The sequence below is a fragment of the Homo sapiens genome, chromosome 8, assembly GCF_000001405.40.
Source record: "Homo sapiens chromosome 8, GRCh38.p14 Primary Assembly".
NCBI lineage: Eukaryota > Metazoa > Chordata > Mammalia > Primates > Hominidae > Homo > Homo sapiens.
Window position 1 is genome coordinate 94835737 of NC_000008.11, and position 24777 is coordinate 94860513.

The 24777-nt window shown below is 38.7% G+C and overlaps 1 protein-coding gene across 5 annotated transcripts in view; it reads left to right on the top strand.

The window, feature by feature from the left end:
* The window catches only part of INTS8 (integrator complex subunit 8), a 58460-nt gene that overhangs the window by 12450 nt on the left and 21233 nt on the right, over positions 1-24777 (top strand). For 2 of the 5 annotated variants that reach the window (NR_073444.2, NM_017864.4), the window contains exons 7-16: positions 788-895; positions 2727-2882; positions 5755-5855; positions 6611-6752; positions 13726-13796; positions 14180-14355; positions 15817-15950; positions 18069-18179; positions 21041-21242; positions 23775-23896. Coding sequence is in view for 3 of the 5 variants with exons in the window: in NM_017864.4 (NP_060334.2) it covers positions 788-895; positions 2727-2882; positions 5755-5855; positions 6611-6752; positions 13726-13796; positions 14180-14355; positions 15817-15950; positions 18069-18179; positions 21041-21242; positions 23775-23896 (1323 nt within the window). In the remaining 2 variants the exon portion in view is untranslated. Of the gene's footprint in view, positions 1-787; positions 896-2726; positions 2883-5754; positions 5856-6610; positions 6753-13725; positions 13797-14179; positions 14356-15816; positions 15951-18068; positions 18180-21040; positions 21243-23774; positions 23897-24777 lie in introns of those variants that run through there. The other 3 variants (NR_073445.2, XM_047421952.1, XM_047421951.1) reach the window with 3 other exon arrangements.

Consider the following 24777-nt stretch of genomic DNA (forward strand, 5'->3'; position numbering starts at 1 on the left):
TTACAGGTGTGCGCCACTACGCCTAGCTAATTTTTGTATTTTTAGTAGAGATAGGGTTTCACTATGTTGGTCAGGCTGGTCTCGAACTCTTGACCTCGTGATCCACCCGCCTCGGCCTCCCAAAGTGCTGGGTTTACAGGCGTGAGCCACTGCGCCCAGCCAGGCTTCTTCTTATAGAATCAACTAAAAACTCCCAATACTAGCTTTCTCTAGCCTTATCTGGCTTGAGGGCAGGCATATCACGTAAGTTTTACAGATGGGTATGCTTCTTTTAGACTGAATCATGAGCTGGTCCTAGTAAGTCATAGCATTGAGAGTGATGGAGAATCCATTGTGGTGGTGGGTAGCGGCAACAGCGACAGTAAAATCTAGTTTCCGGGGACAGCACTTGCAGGAGTGTAGCTGCTGCTTTCAGGGTCTGGTCCGGGTGGCTATGGGTGACAGGAGCTGTGGAATCTACTGTTGAGATTCTTCACCAGACTAGTGTTGGCTCTCATCCTGACTGCATGCCTCCTTTGCCCTTTTTTCTAGTCAGATTCTTTAGCCTTTTTAATAATTCTGTAGGCGACCTAAAATCTACTCAGTAAATCAATATTCTGCTTAAGTTGACCAGAGTTGGTTTATGTTGCTTGTGACTAAGAACACTGGTGGTAGCACCTCTCCTTGGAATATGTGTTTTTTTATGTCTTTTTTTCTGTGTTTTCGTGAGATAAAGACAGTTTTGGTTCTGTCACCTCTTAAGTACCTGAGAAATTGTTAAGCAAATTGGTGTTCATTATTATTTCAGGTGTGCTATGATTTGGGCGCAGCATACTTCCAGCAAGGCTCCACAAATTCAGCTGTCTATGAAAATGCCAGGGAAAAATTTTTTAGAACCAAAGAACTAATTGCAGAGGTAAATCCAGTCATAATAGGAACTTAATGTTCAGTTCTTTAAAACATCTATACATTTTTTTGGCTTTGATTTTTCTGATGATAAAAACGTGTTCATTATTATAAATGTGTGATGTTCAAGAAAGTACTAAAACTGGTTTTTAAAAATCTGTAGTAATATAACCTGGAAATATAGCCCCTTTTATAAATCTAGTAAATTTTCTTCCAGCTTTTTTCTCTCTGTTTTTGTACAGTTAAGCTCATATTGTAAATACTCTGTATCTTGCTTAAATCTTTGACTAGGCATTATAAATGTATCATATTATGTGGAAGTACTCTGATTTACTTCATTTCCCTTATGTTTGGGCATTTAGGTTTATTATACAGCTGCAATATTTGTATCTGCAAGCCTAAATTTTTCTTCAGATTTCAGATATGTTTAAGTTCCTACAATTATTGCCATGTCAATGGTTATGTATTTTTCTAAGGCTATAATTTATCAAACCACATTACTTTCCAGGTACATTTCTCACAGAGCACTTCAGTTAGCAGTGAGTGTTTAACAAATTTTTATTTTTATTTTTTTGCTAACTTGATTGGTGAAATATAGTATCTTTTATAAACTTGGCTTTCATTAATTCCTAATATGGGTAAACATTTTTACTGTGTTTATCATTTGCATTTTTCTTTTTTATGATTCAGATGACTGAATTGTAAACCTAGTATATCTATAACTAGGTTTTTATATGGCTGGTGCCTGGAAAAATTCCCACTTCAATCTGCTGTCCTTAGTAGAGATATTGATTAAATGCCCTAGAGGTTTAAATGCTCTGACTATTCTAGATAGACCCATTAGAAATACTCATTTTACTTTGCTAGGAAATTAATCTGCTTTCTAATTTTATGGTATTTCAGGTATAGTAATTTAAAACAAATATTTTTTCAAACTTTTTTTTTTTAATCCTGTTTGGGTAGAAGCATTTCTATTCTTTCCAATTGAGTGATGATTATGCTCTTTGCTCGCTCCTTTAAATCTCTGCTGGTATGTGTCTTTTAAAACCTTTAAGCTTGTTTTTAATTTTAACACTGTTTGCTCTTTGTTAATGTCTTGTCATACATACTTGGTATGATAATGATGTCCACCTTTTGTATGTTGGCCTGAAAACTCTAAGCTTCAGCAAACTTTCTTTGTAAAGGGTCAGTTAGCAAATATCTTAGGCTTTCTGGGCCACATTCAGTCTCTATTGCATATTCTTACCATTTTTTTGGTCCCCTTTGCATAGTTTACGGCCCACAAAAATTGTTCTTAGCTCAAGGGACGAACAAAAACAGACCATAGGCTGGATCTGGCCTATGAGCAATAGTTTTTTGACCCCTGTTCTAAACCTTTAACCTTTTTGTTTTTTGATTCTTCCAGTTTTAAATTTTTCTTTTCTTTTTTTTTTTTTTTTTCCTGGGACGGAGTCTCGCTTTGTCACCCAGGCTGGAGTGCAGTGGCGCCTTCTCGGCTCACTGCAACCTCCACCTCTCCTCCCGGGCTCAAGCCATTCTCCTACCTCAGCCTCCCGAGTAGCTGGGACTACAGGTGCCCGCCACCATGCCTGGCTAATTTTTGTATTTTTAGTAGAGACAGGGTTTCATCATCTTGGCCAGGCTAGTCTCGAACTCCCGACCTTGTGATCCGCCAGTCTCGGCCTCCCAAAGTGCTGGGATTACAGGCGTGAACCGCTGTGCCCAGCCCGGCTTGAATTTTTCGTTAGCATTTCCTTGTACTGTTAAAACATGCTAAGGGGGTGCTAGACTATTGTTTATATTACATGAATGGATAATGGTGTATACCTCTTACTTTACAGATAGGTTCATTATCTCTTCATTGTACCATAGATGAGAAGCGGTTAGCTGGCTATTGTCAAGCATGTGATGTTCTTGTACCTTCTTCTGATAGTACATCTCAACAGTTGACTCCATATAGTCAAGTCCATATTTGTTTGAGATCTGGCAACTATCAGGTAAGGTGTATGAGGGGGATGCAGTGAAGTTTTGGAAGCCAGACAAAACTAAGTTCAAATCCTCGCACCATCCATTTACCAGTTACGCGTTTTGGGGCAAGTCATTTACACTGTCATACTGGCCTGTAACATAATGGTAATAATTATCCCATTTCCTAAGATTCTTATGAGAATCTAGTGAGAAGTTATAGTGCACAAATTCTAAGGCAAAGCATTATACAGATGTTACTTCATCATTGCTGTTATCTTAAAGGTATAGAGTTGGTCTATCTTAAATAAATTTTGTAAGAAATGCTTGTAAGCAGAACTTTTAACATTTAAAAATTGCAGGTAGACAGCTTTTAGTTGTGTGTGTGTGCATTTGTTTAGCAGCTGGGATTGTTGGCTGCTAAGATATTAATAGCTTTTAGTTTTACAAAACATTAAGTCTTGTGTCTTTTGGATGTGTGGCTTGTAGCCCAGCTTTAGTAGCCCTTCCAAATAGTAAGACTGAAGGAGAAAGGGAGCACAGTGAACACGGCAGTTGTTCTGGTGGGTTTGGATGGTCTGTTAGAAACAGAGCCCACCTGCTCTTGAGCCTACTCACCATCTTGATTTGGTTCATGAAAACGCCTTAATGAGTCTCTTGAGACTTTTATTGTGCGCGCCCCACCCTCCCCACCAACACGCACACACCTCTGGGTGTTTATCTTCAGTTTTGTTATGAAAATAACTGGAAATTAGAATTGTGCTTTTAAAGTCTTTATTGGAAAGCCTCCATTCTAGAGAATAAACAGTGCATTCATTCATGTTTAACTCAAAATAGGAATCATGAAATGATAAAGCCATAACTTAGTTTTGTGTCTCCAATTGGGTATTATTCCAGCTTTATAGTTCTCTTACCTAGGGGTTTTTTTGTTTTTCACAGAAAATAGGTGAAGAGAGGAAACAAGATGGCACTTCTTTCCCCTATCTTTGGCCCTTTTTAAAAGTATTGCTTTGTCCTAGGAAAGAAAATTAAACTTTCTTGAAGTTTAATTACCGACACAGGTGAATTTAATAAAGACTAGAGCTCTCTCAGTTATAGCTCCCTAGTAAAGGTTTATGAAGGGTGAGATCAATTATCATAAAATACAGATTCTTTAACAAGTTGGCTGGGCACCGTGGCTCACACCTGTAATCCCAGCACTTGGGAGGCCAAGGTGGGAGGATCGCTTGAGTCCAGGAGTTCAAGGTTGCAGTGAGCTATGATAGCACTGCTGCACTCCAGCTTGGGTGACAGAGCAAGACCCTGCCTCAAAAACAAAAAAACCCAAAAAACAAAAAAACCTCTCTGGAGTGGTAAGACCTGTGCCAACAAGACCTTAGGAATATCACCCAGAGACAAGTACATGTTACTGTGACTGTAATAAAGTTCCACAAAAATCAGAAAATAGTGTAATGGGTAGCTAAGACGGGGAAAATAGGAATTTTGTTGCATCTTTGAGATTCATTACTTATACATGCAGGACTCTCTTAGAAATTGTATTTCTTCGAATGGCATTGTGTTTTTATGAACTATGTGGGTTTTGTTTAGTGCTGATGAAGTAGGAGTTGAGCAGCTGTAACAGGTGTGTCTTCTCACACTTGAGAAGCTGCTGTGTTGCTCCTGTGGAGCCCTGCCTTGCTCATGTTTTGTTATGGAGGTGAAGCTAGTGGTTGCTCCATATTTTTGAAACCACTTATGTCAGTACTTTTCTGGTAGTGGCTGATTAGTTTAATTTTCAGATATCTCCTTTCCCCCTCCTCTCGTTAACACCCTTTCTTTCTTTCCTGCTCTTCCATTCTTGAGAAGTAGCTAAGAAAAAGTCTGTATGTAATAATCTGGGTATTTTTTGTAGTTCACAGATAATATATTTTAAATCATTTAAATTTATTATAATCACTTGTTAGCATGTTTTTTCAGCTGAATTTTTTAATTAGTTTTTTTTTTTTTTTTGAGACAGAGTCTCACTCTGTTGCCCAGGCTGGAGTGCAGTGGCACGATCTTGGTTCACTGCAACCTCTGCTGCCCGGGTCCAAGTGATTCTTCTGCCTCAGCCTCCCGAGTAGCTGGGATTACAGGCGCCTGCCAACGTGCCTGGCTAATTTTTGTAGTTTTTAGTAGAGACGGGATTTCACTGTCTTGGCCAGACTGGTCTTGAATTCCTGACCTCGTGATCCACCTACCTTGGCCTTCCAAAGTGCTGGGATTATAGGCATGAGCCACCGTGTCTGGCCATTTAATTAGTATTTTTTTAGTTTGTTTTATGAGCTTGTGTTTAGAGAGAATAATAATTTTTTTTTTTTTTTTTGAGATGGAGTATTGCTCTGTCACCCAGGCTGGAGTGCAGTGGCACCATCTCAGCTCAAAGCAACCTCCGCCTCCTGAGTTCAAGCAGTTCTCCTTCCTCAGCCTCTCCAGTAGCTGGGATTACATGCAAGTGCCATGATACCCGGCTAATTTTTGTATTTTTAGTAGAGACGGGATTTCACCATGTTGGCCAGGCTGGTTTTAAATTCCTTACCTCATGATCCACCTGCCTTGGCCTCCCAAAGTGCTCAGATTACAAGCGTGAGCCACCATGCCTGGCCTAAAATTTTTTTCTAATAACATAGCTGGATTGCCTCTCATTGACTGATTCCTTTCTTACCTCTCATTTTTGGTCTGTGATCTTCAGTTTTAAAAAAGGGGTAGCAGGGCTGTTTTTGCCCTTAATCAAATTTTAGAATTTTAGGAAGAAAAGGTTTTCATAGTAAGATATTTTTGTGATTGTTTTTCAACTTGTATTTTCCATTATAGAAAGACTTGTTTAAAGTAAAAAAACTTTACCATGATTTTTGAAATGGGTGCAACTTTATGTGTGTGTTCTAGGAGGTAATACAGATTTTCATTGAAGACAACTTAACCTTGAGTTTACCTGTCCAGTTCCGACAGTCAGTCCTAAGAGAACTCTTTAAGAAAGCTCAACAGGGGTAAGTAAGTTGAAAAATTACTTCTTGATTTTTGAATAAAACAGCAAGTGCATTCTGGTTTATCAAAACCACATTTTCAAATTTCCTATGGCTCTGTGACATTATTTTCATGTTGTTAATATAAGGGAAATTAACATAGGGTGGAGGAACACTCTGGTGTTCCTCCGTCTAGTCTGTTTTAAAAGTGCTTGCAGGGCCGGGCGAGGTGTCTCATGCCTATAATCCCAGCACTTTGAGAGGCCGAGGTGGGTGGATCACTTGAGGTCAGGAGTTTGAGACTAGTCTGGCCAACATGGTGAAACCCCGTCTCTACCAAAAAATAGAAAAATTAGCTGGGCATGGTGGTGCACACCTGTAGTCCCAGCCACTCAGGAGGCTGAGGCACGAGAATCGCTTGAACCCAGGAGGTGGAGGTTGCAGTGAGCCGAGATTGCACCACTGTACTCCAGCCTGGGTGACAAAGCAAGACTCCGTCTCAAAAGAAAAAAAAAAAAAAACTGCTTGGGAGAAAAATTATACATAGCAAAATTCCATTCTGTTGTCTAATATGTAACTACATTGTCCCTTGATAAATTCAAAACCTATTCTGCTTTCTTTCTCCCCATGATTTGGTATATATTTATTGGTATGCTTGAATATTCTAAAATCTTACCTCTTAAGAATAAATGGCTCATTCTTGTGAATATAGTTGTATAATATACACCTTTCTTTTGTAGTAAAAATAACATTAGTTGATCTACTTTTGTATTCTACAGAAATGAAGCTCTAGATGAAATCTGTTTTAAAGTTTGTGCCTGTAATACAGTCCGTGATATACTGGAAGGCAGAACAATTAGTGTTCAATTTAACCAGCTATTTCTTAGACCAAATAAAGAGAAAATAGACTTTCTTCTTGAGGTATGACATGTTTTTCTTTCCCCTTTTGATTTATAATTTGCTTTAAGCTTACCAGTGACCTCTTAATTGCCAAATCCAGTTCCTTTTTTCCTGTCTGCCTTGCGTTTCTGTGCCTGACAATTGGCACTTTTGACAGACTATGCCCTTCCGCCTGGTCTTCTGCTGTAGCTCTTTTTCTAGTTCGCTCCATGTTTCTTCAGCATCTTTATTGGATTCTCCTTAGTCCTTCATTGACTTCTCTATTGCTCTTCCTTTAGTATTTCTGTTCATAGAACTTTTGTCCTTGGCTCACTCATCATTTTTTATTTACTTCCAAAGCTTCACTCATCTGTTTCATCACCTGTTTACTAAGAACTCCCAAATCAAGCCTCTTGTCTGTCATGTGTGCTGTGGAATCTGTGTTTCTACTGGATCACTCTACTTCTTTCTTAACAGTCTTAATGTTAGAGACATTGAGAGAAGTACATAAAGCACAGATAATACCACTTACTTCCAAAAATACAACGTTGCCAGCACTCTAGAAGCCTTTGTTGTGGTCTTTACAACCTCCTCTACCTTCCCTTGAGGTAGCTACTGCCCTGGCTTTTGTGATCATAATTTTCTTGCTTTCTTTTATATTTGTATCACCTCTGTATGTATCCTTAAAGAACATTCTTTAATTTGCCTATTTTGAACTTCATATAAATGGAATCATACAATGTGTATTCATCATCTTCTTTCACTAAAGAGATTTATTTGTGAGATTTATTCAAGTTGTATATAAATAACAATTTTTTTCATTGCTTTAAGGTGTTAGAGCCTGGGTGCAGTGGCTCACACCTGTAATCTCAGCACTTTGGGAGGCCAAGGCGAGTGGATCACAAGGTCAGGAGTTCAAGACCAGCCTGGTAAACATAGTGAAACTCCGTCTCTACTAAAAATACAAAAAATTAGCCGAGCGTGCTGGCAAGTGCCTGTAATCCCAGCTACTTGGGAGGCTGAGGCAGGAGAATCGCTTGAAACTAGGAGGCAGAGGTTTCAATGAGTGGAGATTACGCCACTGCACTCCAGCCTGGGCAACAGTGAGAGACTCCATCTCAAAAAAAAAAAAGTTAGAATATTATATGGACCACGCCACAATTTCTTCAGTCTTATGATGGGGGACATTTGTGTGTTTTATAGTTTTTGGCTGTATACACATATGATGGAGGGACATTTGTGTTGTTTATAGTTTTTGCCGCTTGGAACATACTTGTACATATATCTAGGTGTGCATACGTACCAGTTTATGTTACATACCTAGGGAATAATATATCTGCAACATTAATTTTTAAAAACCAAGTGGCTTATAACCACCAGCATGCCTGAGTGTTCTCATCAGTCAACATCCTTGTTAACATTTGATATTGTCAGATCGCCTGTGAGGTGGTTGTATAACAGTACCTCATTGAGGTTTTCATTTCTACAACTCTTCATTTAATTTTTACTCATGGATTTTGTTTTTTGAGGTACCTTTTCCAAGTGTTATGCCTCTTTTTTTTTTTGAGATAGAGTTCTGCTTTTTTTTTTTTATTTTTTTATTTTTTGAGATGGGGCCCCCTCTGTTGCCTGGCCAGGCTTTAGTGCAGTGGCGTGATCTCGGCTCACTGCAACCTCCGCCTCCCAGGTTCAAGCGATTCTCCTGCCTCAGCCTCCTGAGTAGCTAGGACTACGGGCGTGCGCTACCACGCCTGGCTAATTTTTGTATTTTTAGTAGAGACAGGGTTTTGCCATGTTGGCCTGGCTGGGCTCAAACTCCTGACCTCAGGTTATCTGCCTGCCTTGGCCTTCCAAAGTGATAGGATTACAGGTGTGAGCCACCGTGCCTGGCCAGAGTTCTGCTCTTGTTGCCCAGGCTGGAGTGCAGTGGTACAATTTCAGCTCACTGCAACCTCCACCTCCCAGTTTCAAGTGATTCTCCGGCCTCAGCCTCCGGAGTAGCTGGGATTACAGGTGCCCACCACCACGCCCTGCTAATTTTTGTATTTTTAGTAGCGACGGGGTTTTGCCATTTTGGCCAGGCTGGTCTTGAACTCCTGACCTCAAGTGATCCACCCACTTTAGCCTCCCAAAGTCCTGGGATTACAGGCATGAGCCGTGCCCGGCCATGTTATGTCTCATTTTTCTATTATATTGTCTGTTCTTTGGAAGGAGCTTTCTTTTTTGTAGGAGATCTATATATATTCTCTTTTTTACCAATTTTAAATATTGCAGATATCTTCACTGAGTTTGACTTTTAGTTTTTCTTTTTTTTTTTTTTTTGTTTGAGACGGGTCTCACTCTATCACCCAGTTGGAGTGCAGTGCTGTGATCTCAGTTCACTGTAACCTCCACCTCCTGGGTTCAAGCCATCCTCCCACCTCAGCCTCCTGAGTAGCTGGGACTACAGGCATGTGCCACCACGCCTGGCTAATTTTTTTTATTTTTGGTAAAGATGGGGTTTTGTCACGTTGTCCAGGCTGGGCTCGAACTGTTGAGCTCAGGTGATCCACTCACCTTGGCTTCCCAAAGTGCTGTGATTACAGGCATGAGCCACCACGCCCAGCTTAGTTTTCTTTATATTGTTCCAAAGCTCCTAAATTTAATATCAAATTTACCGATTTTTTTCCGTTGTAGTGATTTCTGTGTGTTGTTTAAGAAAGCTTTTTCCTATTGTGTCATGAAGATATTCTTCTATTATTATCTTCTAAAAGCTTTATAGCATAGCCTTCCTTTCACGTTTAGGTCTTTGATCAACCTACAGTTGATTTTTGTGTGAAGCAGGAAGTGTGCCAGCACCATTTACTGAAAGGTTAATTTTTTTCCCACCAATCTCTAGGGCCACCTCTATTGTATGCCGGGTGTTTATACATGTATGGGCCTGTTTCTGAGCCATTTTATACCACTTTTCTATTTGTCTATCCATACCTTATTATGTCCATGTCCTGATACCATCGAGAGCAAGTTCTACCTTGTTTTCAAGGTTGTATTGGTTATTCTTGTCCCTCATTCTGTTGCCCAGGCTGGAGTGCAGTGGCACAATCTTGGCTCACTGCAACCTCCGCCTCCCGCGTTCAAGTGACTCTTCTGTGTCAGCCTCCTGAGTAGCTGGGACTACAGGCACGCGCCACCATGCCTGGCTTATTTTTGTATTTTTAGTAGAGACAGGGTTTCACGATATTGGCCAGGCTGGTCTCAAACTCCTGACCTCATGATCTGCCCGCCTCGGCCTCCCAAAGTGCTGGGATTACAGGTGTGAGCTACCACGCCCGGCAGTCCTTTGCATTTTTATGTGTCAACATTAGACTCAGATTGTCAAGTTCCACAAATCTGTTGGATTTTTGTTTGGAATTACATTAAATTTAGAAGCCAGTTTAGAAAGAAATTATGTCTCTTTTCTTTATTAGAAAAAATTTTATGGGCGGCCTCCTAAGCCAAAGTATGCTTAGGGAGACCCCTAAGAATTTACATGTTTACATTATTGGGTGTCCTAATCCATGAACGGGTATGATGGCTCTTGATTTCTTTAGGCAGTCTTTAGTGTCCTTTAGAACTTCCTAATTTTTCCATAGAAGTCTTAAATTTTTAAATAGTTCTTAAAATGTAGACTTGAAAATAGTTTATGCATTGATACAGAGGTATAATTTAACTTTCTAATAATTTTGTATCCAACAACTTTGCTTAGCTTTTAAAAATTCTATTCATATTTTTTTCCATTTTTCTATGTATGCAGTCATCTGTGAAGAATGCATTTTGTTTATTCCTTTTCTAACCTTTTATTTTTGATTTATTTTTACTTTTTCTTTGAGATGGAGTTTCTTTCTTGTTGCCCAGGCTGCAGTGCAATGGCGTGATCTCTGCTTGGCGCAACCTCTGCATCCCAGGTTCAAGTAATTCTCCTGCCTCAGCCTCCTGAGTAGCTGGGACTACAGGCATGTGCCACCACGCCTGGCTAATTTTGTATATTTCGTAGAGATGGGGTTTCTCCATGTTGGTCAGGCAGGTCTCGAACTCCTGACCTCAGGCGATCCACCCGCCTCAGCCTCCCAGATTACTGGGATTACAGGTGTGAGCCACCACACCCAGCCTCTTTTTACTTATTCTTAATGTGCTGGCTATTACCTCCAGTACAGTGTTCAGTAGAAGTGGGAATAGAGAACTGCCTCGTCTCACTCCCAGTCTCAGAAAGCAAGCTTGCACTATTTCACCATTTAGAATGATGTTTATTGTAGGTTTTTCTTGTTGCTATTCCTTATCTGATTAAGGAAGTTCCCTTCTCTCCTTAGTTCACTGAAGGTCCTGTTTTTAAAATAACGAATTATTTTTAGATTGTATTAAATGCTTTTTCTGTGTCTGTTGAAATGGTCACATAATTTCTCTCCTTACCTGTTCATGTGATAAAGTATAATTGATTTTCAAGTGTTAAACCACCATTGCATGTCTGGAATAGACCCAACTAGGTCATGATCGTTTTTTAATAGAAATTGCTGAACTTGGTTTGCCAATATATGAAGATTTTTTTTCTACATTCATGTATGAGATTGATGCACATATTTTTATTTTTTTATTTTTTGAGACGAAGTCTTACTGTGTCGGCCAAACTGGAGTGCAGTGGCGCAATCTTGACTCACTACAACTTCCCTCTCCAGCTTCAAGTGATTCTCCTGCCTCAGCCTCCACAGTAGCTGAGATTACAGGCACCCACCACCATGCCCAGCTAATTTTTTTGTAGTTTTATTAGAGACGGGGTTTTACCATGTTGGCTGGGCTGGTTTCAAACTCCTGACCTCAAGTGATCCTCCCACCTCTGCCTCCCAAAGTGCCTGGATTACAGGTGTGAGCCATGACACCTGGCCGATGCACACATTTTTTTCTTTCTTGTCCTTCCTTTGATTTTGGTGTCAAGGTCATGCTTGCCTTATAAATAAGTTGAGGCATCTGTCTTTTTTATTGTCTGGAAAAGTTTGTGTAAAAATGAAGTCATTGCTTCTTTCAGTGTTGGGTAGAATTTACCAGTAAAGTCTGGGCCTGGGTAATTTTTTTGTGGGAAGGTTTTTGATCAGTGATCATAGAACTATATTCTCGTTTTTCTAGAGTTAGTTTTAAGAAGTTATTTTCTAAGGATTTGTCCATTTCATCTTAAGTTTATTAGTATTAAAATTTATTATTTTAATATTAAAGCATCTACAGAGATGCCCACTAGTTTGAGTTTTTCTTTTTTTAAATTGAAGTGCATGAAATTCACATAACATGATCTGTTAGGTTTGCTTATTAGAAGTTACATGTTCCCTACATTGTTCCATGACACATGTACAAAGCTTCTCACTATGTGAATAAATAATCTGTTGTAAAAGGAGACTCAGATATTTATTACTCACCATAAGATATTTACATATGGCAGCAAAGAAACAAAGTTATTAGAATGTAAGTGTATAATACATACTCCAAGATGCTCAGATGTTATTTACTGATAGGTTAATTTGTTAATCAGAAAATGGTATTTGAACATAGCACTTTTAAAACACTGCTTTTTTTTTTTTTGAGATGGAGTCTCTCTCTGTTTCCCAGGCTAGAGTGCAGTGGCCTGATCTCCACTCACTCTAACCTCTGCCTCCTGGGTTGAAGTGATTCTCCTGCCTCAGCCTCCCCAAGTAGCTGGGACTACAGGCCCGTGTCACCATGCCCACGTAATTTTTTTTGTATTTTTAGTAGAGACGAGGTTTCACCATGTTGGCCAGGCTGATCTGGAACTCTTGACCTCAGGTGATCCACCTGTCTCAGCCTCCCAAAGTGCTGGGATTAGAGGCAGGAGCCACCGCACCAAGCCTGTTTTTTTAATAACAGTTTCATCAAGATATAATTCACATACCATACAGTTCACGCATTTAAAGTGTATAAGTCAGTGCGTTTTAGTGTATTCCTAGAGTTGTGCAGCTATCACTTCACTTCCTTTTTTCACTCCAAAAAGATAATCTCTTATTCATTACCTGTCACTCTTCATTTTCCCTCAATCTCGCACCACCTGAGGCAACTACTAATCTAATTTCTCTATAGATTTATCTGTTCTGGATATTTTATGTAAATGGAACTATGAAATAGATGATCTTTTGTAACTGGCTTCTTAGCACGTTTTCAATATTGTAGCATGTATCAGTACTTCACTTTTTATGGCTGAATAATACTTAATTGAATGGATATATACTGTATTTTGTGTGTTTATTCATCAGTTGGTAGACTGCAGGTTACTTATACTTTTTGGCTACTATGATTAATACTACTATGAACATTCTATTTTGTGTGTGTGTCAACGTAAAAAATATTTAGCAATTTCTTGAGATTATGGACTTTTACACTAGTTATATTTTATTTTGGCTTCTTATAAATAATATATTAGGAGGAATCCTAATCTAATGAATAAATTCAACATAATATGAAAATATTATTTGTAGATAACTAATATGACCATAACTAGTTTCTATTCTTTGTTTGCATTGTTTACTTTTTAAACCTTGGTTACCTTTTTAACTATTCATGAATAGCTCATGAATATAGAACCATTAGTTCTATATTCATGATAAATCACTTACTCTTTTCAATTATTTTCTTTTTGGTTTTAAAAATTTTTTATTTTTTTAACTCTTTTCTGACAGGAGCTACTGATTTCTATGGTTTATCACTTAATATAATTTGGCAACATAGTTGATAAATTCTGTGAGAACTGTATAGCATGGTAACTAGGTTATTCTTTGCTACATGTATACACCTGCACTTATTAAAATGGTCACATTCCATTCCCTCTTTGTGATGGATTGTTATTCCTTGGTCTGGTCTCTTCTGTTAAGTTACTTAACTAAATCTGTGATTGGTACATTGTTGAAAAAGGAAAATTCAGTTGTTTTTAAATCCAGCCTTTTCAAATTATAATTTACATTTTTATAAGTACCCATATTCAAATGAAAATTACTCAAATTCCTAGGTATGTTCAAGATCAGTAAATTTAGAAAAAGCTTCAGAGTCTTTGAAAGGAAACATGGCTGCTTTTCTAAAGTAAGTACCTTTCTTTTCTTTTTTCTTTTTTTTTTTAACTTTGAACTTAGTCCTGTGAACAAAATATCTGTATTATCTTTTGTTTTTGTCTTGGGTATCTTTTAACCAGGCAGTAACTGGTGTTTGAGAACCCATTAAGTTCAAATTTGTATAGCCACGTGAGACATTAGGATTATATAGTTACCTTTTTTTAATATTGTGGCATTGACATCACAATTTTAAATAAGGACCAAAGGGAAATTTTAAAATCTATTTTAAAATATCATTATACAGTTTATGTAATGGTGGCTTTTTAAATGGCTTATTAAAATTGGTTGATATGATTGTTTTTCTCAAACTAAATTATACACTTTTTTGTTTTACAATATTTCTTACTGATCTAGGAATGTGTGTCTGGGGTTGGAAGATCTGCAGTATGTTTTCATGATTTCTTCACATGAGCTTTTCATTACATTGTTGAAAGATGAAGAACGAAAGCTACTTGTTGATCAGATGAGGAAGAGATCCCCTAGAGTAAATCTGTGCATTAAACCTGTAACTTCATTTTATGATATCCCAGGTTAGCTCTCTAGTCGGCCAGCCAAAATGTTGGCATGTTTTGCCCCTCTATTCAAATTAACCTTGAAATATATTTGAGGATTCTCTCTTGTTTTAATTAACACTTGTGTTGGTAATTAATAGAAATTCACCTGTCTTCCGTATCAGATTTCTGTATAAGCAGTTATGCTCTGGAGCTCTGCCAAGCCAATGATTAGTACAGATTCAGTCCTAGATACATAAAAGATTTTAGCTGGGGAAGGCTGGGCGTGGTGGCTCACGCCTGTAATCCCAGCACTTTGGGAGGCCAAGACGGGCGGATCACGAGGTCAGCAGATAGAGACCATCCTGGCTAACACGGTGAAACCCCGCCTCTACTAAAAATACAAAAAATTAGCCAGGCATGGTGGTGGGCGCCTGTAGTCCCAGCTACTCTGGAGGCTGAGGTAGGAGAATGGCGTGAACCCAGGAGGCGGAGCTTGCAGTGAGCCAAGATTGCGCCACTGCACTCCAGCCTGGGTGACAGAGCGAGACTCCGACTCAAAAAAAAAAAAAAAAAAAAGATTTTCACCGGAGAAATAGACCAAGGTAACACTGCTGCCAGTATGTTCATGGAGGTAAAAACAGAAAGCAGGAGAGGAGTGGTGAGAAATGCTGGGACCAAAAAGAGGACAGATTTTCGTGCATGTCAGTCTATATCACTGTGCTAGTATCTGCTGACTGAACAGCTTGGCAGTATTGCTGTTTTTGCCTTGTTTGATTTTTTTTTCCATTTTTGCCCTTACAAATATAAGTAGAAAATACAATGCTGTTTTTAAATAAGAAACATAAACTTCAACATTTAATATAGATGAGAGAGAATTCGATTGGTTTAACAAAAGCAAACTTTTAGCTTCTTTGACCTTCACTAGATTTAAACTGGTTGAATGTCCAGTTGTAAAGGAAAAGGGTAAGGTTAACACAGAAATGCTGGAAATGCATTATTGAAGACCGTATCTGATATCTGAGCTGTAATTAGGGATTTTGGTAATCATTTTTGGTTCTCTGGGAAGAGCATGCCCCTTTCTCTCATAAAACACATGCTTAATGTTTATTACTCAAAATTAACATTTTATATATGCTTCTGTTAACACATTATATTCAAAAGTAGTGTATAAGTTGTGTATAAGTCTGTAAGTTAATTATTTTCATATATTCCACATAGTTCTTTGCATGAAATATTGATTTTTATCTTGTTTATATTTTCATTATCTTTATTTTTAAAATGCATTCATTTATTAAATGTAGATATAGTAAAATTTTGTTAGGTTTTCTGTGTGAGGATAAAGTTAATGTGTAATTTATACAATGTTGAATGCATCAGTTCTCAAGATGATAGCAGCTTTTAATTTATAGATATAATACAAAATACATAATTTTAAGTAAATTGTTATTCTCGTGTATATCTTTGAATTAAATCATTGAAATATAAATCTTTTTTTAGCTTCAGCAAGTGTCAACATTGGTCAGTTAGAGCATCAACTTATATTGTCAGTGGATCCTTGGAGGATTAGACAAATTTTAATTGAATTACATGGTATGACTTCAGAGCGCCAGTTCTGGACAGTGTCTAATAAGGTAAACCCTATGTCAAGAACAGATAAGAAAATTGCCCTTGTTTTCTGAGGTAATTTAATAGAAAAGCTGTTCCCTGACCTTTTTGATAATAAGGACCTCTTACTTAACAGTTTTAAGACCTTCATATGAACATAATTGCATTTTTAACATCCATTGACAGAGAAAATAGGAAATGTCAGAAACAAAAAGATACCATTAAATGAGTAACATCTAAAAATGAGTTTTTCCATTTGTTGACAAAATATACGCATTTTATTTCATTCATTTGTTTTTTGAGACAGAATCTCACTCTGTCGCTCAGGCTGGAGTGCAGTGGTGCAATCTTGGTTCACTGCAACCTCTGTCTCCCAGATTCAAGTGATTCTCCTGCCTCAGCCTCCCTGGTAGCTGGGATTACAGGTACCTGTCACCATGCCCGGCTAATTTATGTATTTTTAGTAGAGATGGGGTTTCACCATGTTGGCCAGGATGATCTCGAACTCCTGACCACCAGTGATCTACCCGCCTCTGCCTCCCCAAGTGTTGGGATTACAGGTGTGAGCCACCACGTCTGGCTGCATTTTAAATATAGTTGTAAATATATGTAAATGGTATATTATTTATGCATTCTGTAGCATAATGCTTCATTATGGAACATTTTTGGCTTTAAATGTTCCTTTAAAAACTCCCAGCTAATACATTTACCTGTTTCTGAGTTTATCTATTAGAAAGTTTTCCAGCATAGAAAGTGCAAATAAAAATAGCTTTTAAAACACCATTTCAGTGGAATGTAGCTTAGAGATACAAGGGAAGTAATCGACAGATACAGGAGAAATTAAAGCAATATGGTAATGCTCGTAACTAACTACATACTTACTCCTCCCCTGCTGAAGATGTAGTAAAAAGGCAGCCAGAAATGTATGGTTTGTTTTTTTTTTTTGAGACTGAGTTTCACTATTGTTGCCCAGGCTGGAGTGCAATGGTGCGATCTTGGCTCACTGCAACCTCCGCCTCCCGGGTTCAAGCAATTCTCCTTCCTCAGCCTCCCGAGTAGCTGGGATTACAGGCATGCCCCCACCATGCCTGATGAATTTTGTATTTTTAGTAGATACGGGTTTCTCCATGTTGTTCTCCATGTTGGTCAGGCTGGTCTCGAACTCCTGACCTCCTGACCTCAGGTGATCTGCCTGCCTCAGCCTCCCAAAGTGCTGGGATTATAGGCATGAGCCACTGTGCCCGACCTGTATTTTTAAAAATTGGGTTTAAACATACTAGTAGAGAGAAAATAAAAAATTGCTCTAAAAATTAGTTGGGCTTTTTTTTAGCATTGATGCTATTTATTAGTGTGAATTTTTAAGATGAAGGCCAGGTGCAGTGGCTCATTGCCTGTAATCCCAGCACTTTGGGGAGCTGAGATGGGTGGATCACTTGAGGCCAGGAGTTCAAGACCAACCTAGGCAACATAGCGAAACCCCGTCTCTACTAAAAATATAAAAATTAGCTGGGCATGGTGGCGCGCACCTGTATTTCCAGCTACTTGAGAGGCCGAGGCAGGAGAATCACTTGAACCTGGGAGGCAGAGATTGCAGTGAGCAGAGATCACGCCACTGCACTCCAGCCTGGGTGACGGAGCGAGACTCTATCTCAAAAATCAAGAACAAACCAAAAATTTTTAAGATGAACAAGTATAGCATGATAGTTATGATAGGGGATTCTGGGACTAACCGCGTGCTTAAGCTTGAATGCCAGCTTCATACTTAAATAGCCGTATAATCTTGAACAAGTTATTTAACTTCTTTGTGTTGCAGTTTTCTCATTTGCAAAATGACAGTAGTAGCATAATAGTACTTACCTTGATATTGTTGTGAGGATTACCTGAATTAATATATATAAAACTCCTAGTCTTTGTGTGCCTTTTTTTCCTAATAGTAATCCCAGTCCATTATTTATTACTTGTTGATTGTAGCGAATGTGTTCATTTTCGTTAGTGTTATATTATGGCTGTCATTTTCCTTTCTCTTTAAGAGACGACCCGTGAGTTATTTGTTTTAAATGCGATTGAAGATTGTTGAAAGATTCTTATCTAGATTTGGCTTCCTCTATGTGTGCATATATATATGTATTTTTTGTTTCTTTTAGTGGGAAGTACCTTCTGTCTATAGTGGTGTTATCCTGGGAATTAAAGACAATTTAACAAGAGATTTGGTTTATATTCTTATGGCCAAAGGTTTGCACTGCAGTACTGTTAAGGTGAGTAAAAGTGTGTATCAAACACTTGTTAAGAATATGCTTTATGGTCAGGTGCCGTGGCTCATACCTGTAATACCAGCACTTTGGGAGTCTGAGGTGGGCAGATCAACTGAGGTCAAGACCAGCCTGGCCAACATGGTGAAACCTTCTCTCTACTAAAAATACAAAAATTAGCCGGGTGACTATAATCTCAGCTACTCGGAGTCTGAGGCAGGAGAATCTCATGGGAGGTGGAGGTTGGAGTTGCATCATTGCACTCCGGCCTGGGTGACAGAGTGATAGTCCATCTCGGAAAAAAAAAAAAAAAAAGAAAAGAATATGCTTTACTAATTTTAGCAGGAAGTCAGGAACCAGAACTTACCTTTTCCTAATCTTTTCCTAATCTTTAAAGTCACAGTCATAGGCCTAAAAGGATATTTAAAAAGGCATTTTGGTTTGTTCTTTTTGCTTTACCGTTATAATTATACTAAAATGGTCTTGATCAAATGAATACTGCTCTGTGCCTTTTTAAAAGTTGAGAGAACATGCAAAGATATTATTTGTATTCTTTAGGATTCAGCTAGTAAAGATTGTGTACCAAGATTAAAAAACAAACTTTCTAAAAATATACTTTTGTAGTGTATTTTACATGAGTTTGCAGTCTGGGATGTTGAGACATAAGTGGAATGTTAAATCACATAAGATAGTGCAGTTGCGTGACTGATCATACACTGAGTTCTTTAGGAAGGTTAAAGGCAGCATTTGGAAGGCAGAAATGAACTAAAATTGAGGCTTAAATAAGTTAACTACATCCCCACACCAGCAGCACCTGTGACATTTGGGAACTTTTTGTTTGAGACAGGGTGTTGCTGTGTTGCCCAGACCGGGGTGCAGTGGCATGATCATGGCTCACTGCAGCCTCGACTTCCTGGGCTCAAGCAATTCTCCTACCTCAGCCCCCTAAGTAGCTGGAACCACAGGCATGTGCCACCATGCCCAGCTTATTTGAAAGAATTTTTTTTTTTTTTTTTTGCAGAGACAGCATCTCCTTATTTTGCCCAGGCTGATCTTAAACTCCTGGGCTCAAACAATCCTTCCACATCAGCCTCCCAAAGTGCTGGCATTACAGGCATGAGCCACTGCACGTGGCTGGAACTTGCTGGAAATAAAAATTTTGGGGCCCTGTCCTAGACCTAATGGATCAGAAATTCTGGGATGGGGCCCAACATCTTTTTAAATAAGCCCTCAAAGTAATTCTGTTGCATGCTAAAGTTGGAGAACTGCTGCTCTAGACCATCATTGTCCAGTGGGAACATAATGTAGGCCACATATGTAATCTGTAATTTCATAAAAAAGTTTAGTTGATTGAAATGATTTATTTAACTCAGTATGTCTAATTTCAATGTGTAATCGATATAAAAAGTTGGGATGTTTTGCATTCTTTTGAAAATGTATGTGCTAAGTCTTCAAAATCCAGTAAGTATTTTATACTTATAGAATCTCAACTTGGACTAGTCACATTTCACATGCTCAGTAGCCACATCTTATCTAGTGGCTGCCATATTAGACAATGCATCATGAGACAATTGTAAGCCATTGAAAAGTTTTAATAGGAGGAATGTAGTTAGCAGCTTTATCTCCTTCTACACCTAACATAACATTTACTGGGCACAGAGACTTCTGAAATTTCATATACATTTATTGTTTCATTTATTCACAAAAAGTTTGTGGAAGGTATTATCTCAGTTTTAAAGGTGTTAAATTGTCCAAGGGCACACAGCTAGTAAGTGTCACAAGTGTTACAAGGGATAGAGAGAAGAGAACATATTAGAGAAATATTTAGGAGGTAAAATCTGGAAGCAATTGGCAACTGACTTAATGTGGAAGGCAAGATAGGGAGAAAGAATTGAGCATGATGCTCAGACTTCCGGTTCGAGAGTCAGAGAACAAGTGGCAATACCAGCAAGTGAATGTGCAGAAACACATTTTTGCAGGGCAGATTATGAGTTTATTTTTACAATTTTAATTTGAAGCTACAGTTGGAAACAGCCTAAAGCTTGGAGAATGGTCTGGACTGGAGTTACAGATTTGGGAATTACCAAAGATCACCCAGAGAGAATATAAAGAGCGTGAGACCCTAGGGAATGCAATACTAGGTCCAAGAAATAGTGGTGTGATGGGTGTGAGGACCACACAAATGTAGAATAGCTAGGGGAAAAGAAAATGTCAAGAAAAGGGCAATACATAGCACTGAGTTGAAGCCCCTAATTCCTGTAAGATAACAGTGTTCAGTAGATTGGACAATTAAAAGATCTTTGGCTTGTGAGAGTTACTTCTTTGTAATGATGGGGGTAGAAGCCAGATTATGGGAGTGAATGAAATATGTGGAGCAATAGAATATAGTCTTTGGAAACATAAGAGATGCATAGGAAAGGACTTGGATCATAGCTGATTTATTTCATTTTATTTGTTAGCCAATTTTATCGTCTAGTACGGTGGTGTGCAAAGATTTTGGAATGTGTAACCCTTGAATGGTGTAAGGTCTAATTCTGAATATGTTGGATGGAGGAGGGTGCTTGTTATAGAATTTACACCTGTGTAATACAGAAGTCTTTGGTTATCTTATAACTTTTATAAAAGTTGCATAATAATATAAGTATTTTATATTGTTTATTGGATTTTTTAAAATTACAAAGTTATTAAATATTTTTTGGAATAAATCAACAATACAGAGATGAAAATACTATCTAGCCTTACTGCCTGAGAAAAGCAACGTTAACCATTTGAAATAATCCTTCTCCTCTTTGCTCTGTCAACATAAAGGCACACATTTTTTGGCGCCAAAGGAAAGGTGACCCAGGCTATTCTTTTTCTTTTCATAGGACTTTTCCCATGCTAAACAGCTCTTTGCTGCTTGTTTGGAGTTGGTAACAGAGTTCTCACCGAAGCTTCGTCAGGTCATGCTGAATGAGATGTTGCTTTTGGATATTCATACACACGAAGCTGGGACAGGGCAGGCAGGAGAGAGACCGCCATCCGACCTTATAAGTAGAGTACGAGGCTATCTGGAAATGAGGCTTCCTGGTAAGACTGGTTCACAAAGACAAATTTCAGAAACTCAGTACTCACATAATTGTGGGGGAAAATTTAAAAGCAGATTTATTTGAGTTTGTAATCTTTTTTTTTTTTTTTTTTTGAGATGGAGTGTAGCTCTGTCACCCAGGCTGGAGTGTAATGGCGCGATCTCGGCCCACTGCAGTCTCTGCCTCCCGGGTTAAAGTGACTCTCCTGCCTCAGCCTCCTCAGTTGCTGGGATTAAAGGAACCCACCATCATGCCTGGCTAATTTTTGTATTTTTGTAGAGATGGGGTTTCACTATGTTGGCCAGGCTGGTTTTGAACTCCTGACCTCAGGTGATCCACCCTCCTCGCCCTCCCAAAGTGCTGGGATTAGAGGCATGAGCCACCATGCCCAGCTGAGTTTTTATCATCTTTGAAAAAAGTTATTTCACTCCTAAAACAGAATTTGGGTTTGGTGTTCACTGGAGAACATTGGGAAAAATGAAGGAAACTGTTCATTTCTGGGATTTCTGTAACAAGGTACCACAAACTGGGTGACTTAAAACAACATAAATATATTATCTCCCAGTTCTGGAGGCCGGATGTCTGAAGTCAGGATGTCTGCAGGGCTGTGCTGCCCCCAAAGGCTCCAAGAAAGACTCTTTCCTTGCGTCTTCCTAGCTTCTGGTGACCCAGCAATCTTTGGCTTGGGCTGCATTGCTCCAGTCTCTGCTGCTGTCTTCACATGGCCTTCCCCCTGTGTATGTCTGTGTTCTCTTCTTACAAGGACACCAGTCATTGGATCTAAGTTCTGCCCTAATCCAGCTGACTTCATCATAGCTAATTACATCTGCAAAGACTATTTCCAAATAAGGTCACGTTCTCAGGTTCCAGATACACATGAATTTTGGGGGATACTTCTACACACTAGAGAAACTATATTGCAATGTTCAGGTGTTTGAAAGAATCAAAATGTCCTTGAGTGTACAGATTGAAGTTTTATTTCCTTGTTACAGCCATAAAATGCCTTCACACTGATTGCCAGTGGGCTAGAAATTCACTTGTGGCTACTTTAGGAACAGATCTTGAGTGTTTAATTCTAATTGTAAATGTCTTACTATGAAAAGGGGCTTACCATATAAATGATCATCTACGACACATAAATCTTTCTTAGTTAAAGCCGTTTCTTATTTTTCTGCTTTAGAAGTATTTAGAGCAATTAAATCATACTGTACACATTTAATAGTATAAACAGTGGAATTGCATTATAAAAGGAAGGTGATAGTAATGTGTCAGAACAGAAGCAAGTGCTACCGTCTTGAGTCCTATGGGTTAATTTAATTTCTAATTAAAGTCTAATTTCCAGCAGGGGCATGCAGTTATAGATCATAACTTTTTAGTACCCTATAGAGAGAATGCCTTTGAGCTTTAACACATCAGTGCTCTTAAATATTGTAATGTCTTCATGAGGATTGATCTAATAATATGCTGGCACTAAAGGATGCATGCTGCTGTATACATATTTACTTTTTAAAAGTGGGAGGTAGGTTTTCCATACATGGTTTTCTAAAATGAGAAAGAATGTTTAAACCCTAATGTTTGTTGAGTGCTAACTACGTGTCAGGCATTGTTCTAAGCTTCAGGTGCATAACTCATTTAGTCCTCATAGCAGCTCTGTGAAGTAGCTACTGTTTCCTTATCCCCATTTTGTAACTAAGAAACCGAGGTGCAGAGAGGTTGAGGAATTTGCCCACAGTCACACAGGAAGAGACAGAACTATGACTGTACTCCAGCCCAGCTTCAAAGCCTGTGCTCTTACTCTTTGAATGGGTGAAAGTTCCTTTAAATCATTAGTCTCTTTGTGCTACCTTTTTGGCTGAACAGTTTGTAGTTCACATCACTTTTTTGGGGATAGGGAGGGTAAAGGACTGATAGCTCTGCATATAATTTTTGTAAACTCCTAACTTATTAAATGTTCAGCAACTTGTCCTATAGCTTATGCTTATAAACAGTGTTTAAAATAAGAAGGAGGCTGGGCATGCTGGCTCACGCCTATAATCCCAGCACTTTGGGAGTCCGAGGCGGGCAGATCACTGGAGTCCAGGAGTTCGAGACCAGCCTGGACAACATAGTGAGACCCCATCTCTACAAAAATGCAAAAATTAGCCAGGTGTGGTAGCATTAGCCAGGTGTGGTGGGACCTGTGGTCCCAGCTACTTGGGGAGGTTGAGGTGGAAGGATCGCTTGAGCCTGGGAGCTCAAGGCTGCAGTGAACCATAATCACACCACTGCACTCTATCCTGGGCGACAGAGTGAGACCCTGTCTCTACAAAATTTTATTTTTGAGACAAGGTCTCACTCTGTTGCCCAGGCTGGTCTCAAACTCCTGGCCTCAAGTGATCCTCCTGCCTTGGCCTCCCAAAGTGTTGGGATTACAGGTGTGAGCCACCATACCCGTCCTGTTTTTTTATTCAGTTGAAATCTGAGCAAGTATTTGCTTTGTTCCTATTTTAATGTTGTGATGGTAATTCCAACTGTTTTCTTCTTTGCTTTTTAGATATTCCTCTTCGTCAAGTTATAGCTGAGGAATGTGTTGCCTTTATGTTAAACTGGAGAGAAAATGAATACCTTACACTCCAAGTTCCTGCATTTTTGCTTCAGAGTAATCCATATGTAAAGGTAGTTAATGTTTAAATAAAAGGATTGTTAGGATGGTATTATTATACTTGTTTCTTTAACTTTATACTACTTTGGGAACTTGTCTAATTTCTGTGATACAAATGATTGGACAAATGCTTGTTGATTTGTAGTTAAAGGATAGAGTTTTTGATAATTCATGCACTTGACCTTGTTCTAATATTTCTTTCTAATGCCCTGTAATTCATGAGCATGTAGTCACAGATTATTTAGTTAACAGATAACACATTGGTGTAATCCTAAGTAATGAGAGATTCGCTTTCTTTGCTTTGGTTGCTCTAATCACACTCTAGAACTGATGGAGTCCGTCAGGGATGCACTTCTCCTTGTTTCCATTTGAACACTTTATTCTTCTTTAGAATTTTATCCTTCTAAGTTTGCTATGTCTGAATCTCCAATAGGTTTGCTATTAGTAATTATTCCCCTAGTGAAAGAATTTATTCAGTAAATTGGCACTAAGTTATTTTGTTGTCTTAATTATATCCTTTGCAACCTAAAATGCTTCTGAGTACAGAAAATATCAAAACTAATAAGAAACTGGAGGTTTTTTCTAAGATTATATCTTTCATGTGTTAATATTATACACACTCTGAGTAAGTAGTGGGTTTTTCTCACTTTCTGGTTTTACAGTTAAAAAAAAAACAAAGTAGGCTGGGCGTGGTGGCTCACGCCTGTAATCCCAGCACTTTGGGAGGCCAAGACGTGCGGATCACAAGGTCAGGAGTTCAAGACCAGCCTGGCCAATATGGTGAAACCCTGTCTCTACTGAAAATACAAAAATTAGCCAGGTGTGGTGGCAGGTGCCTGTAGTCCTAGCTACTCAGGAGGCTGAGGCAGGAGAATCGCTTGAACCCGGGAGGCAG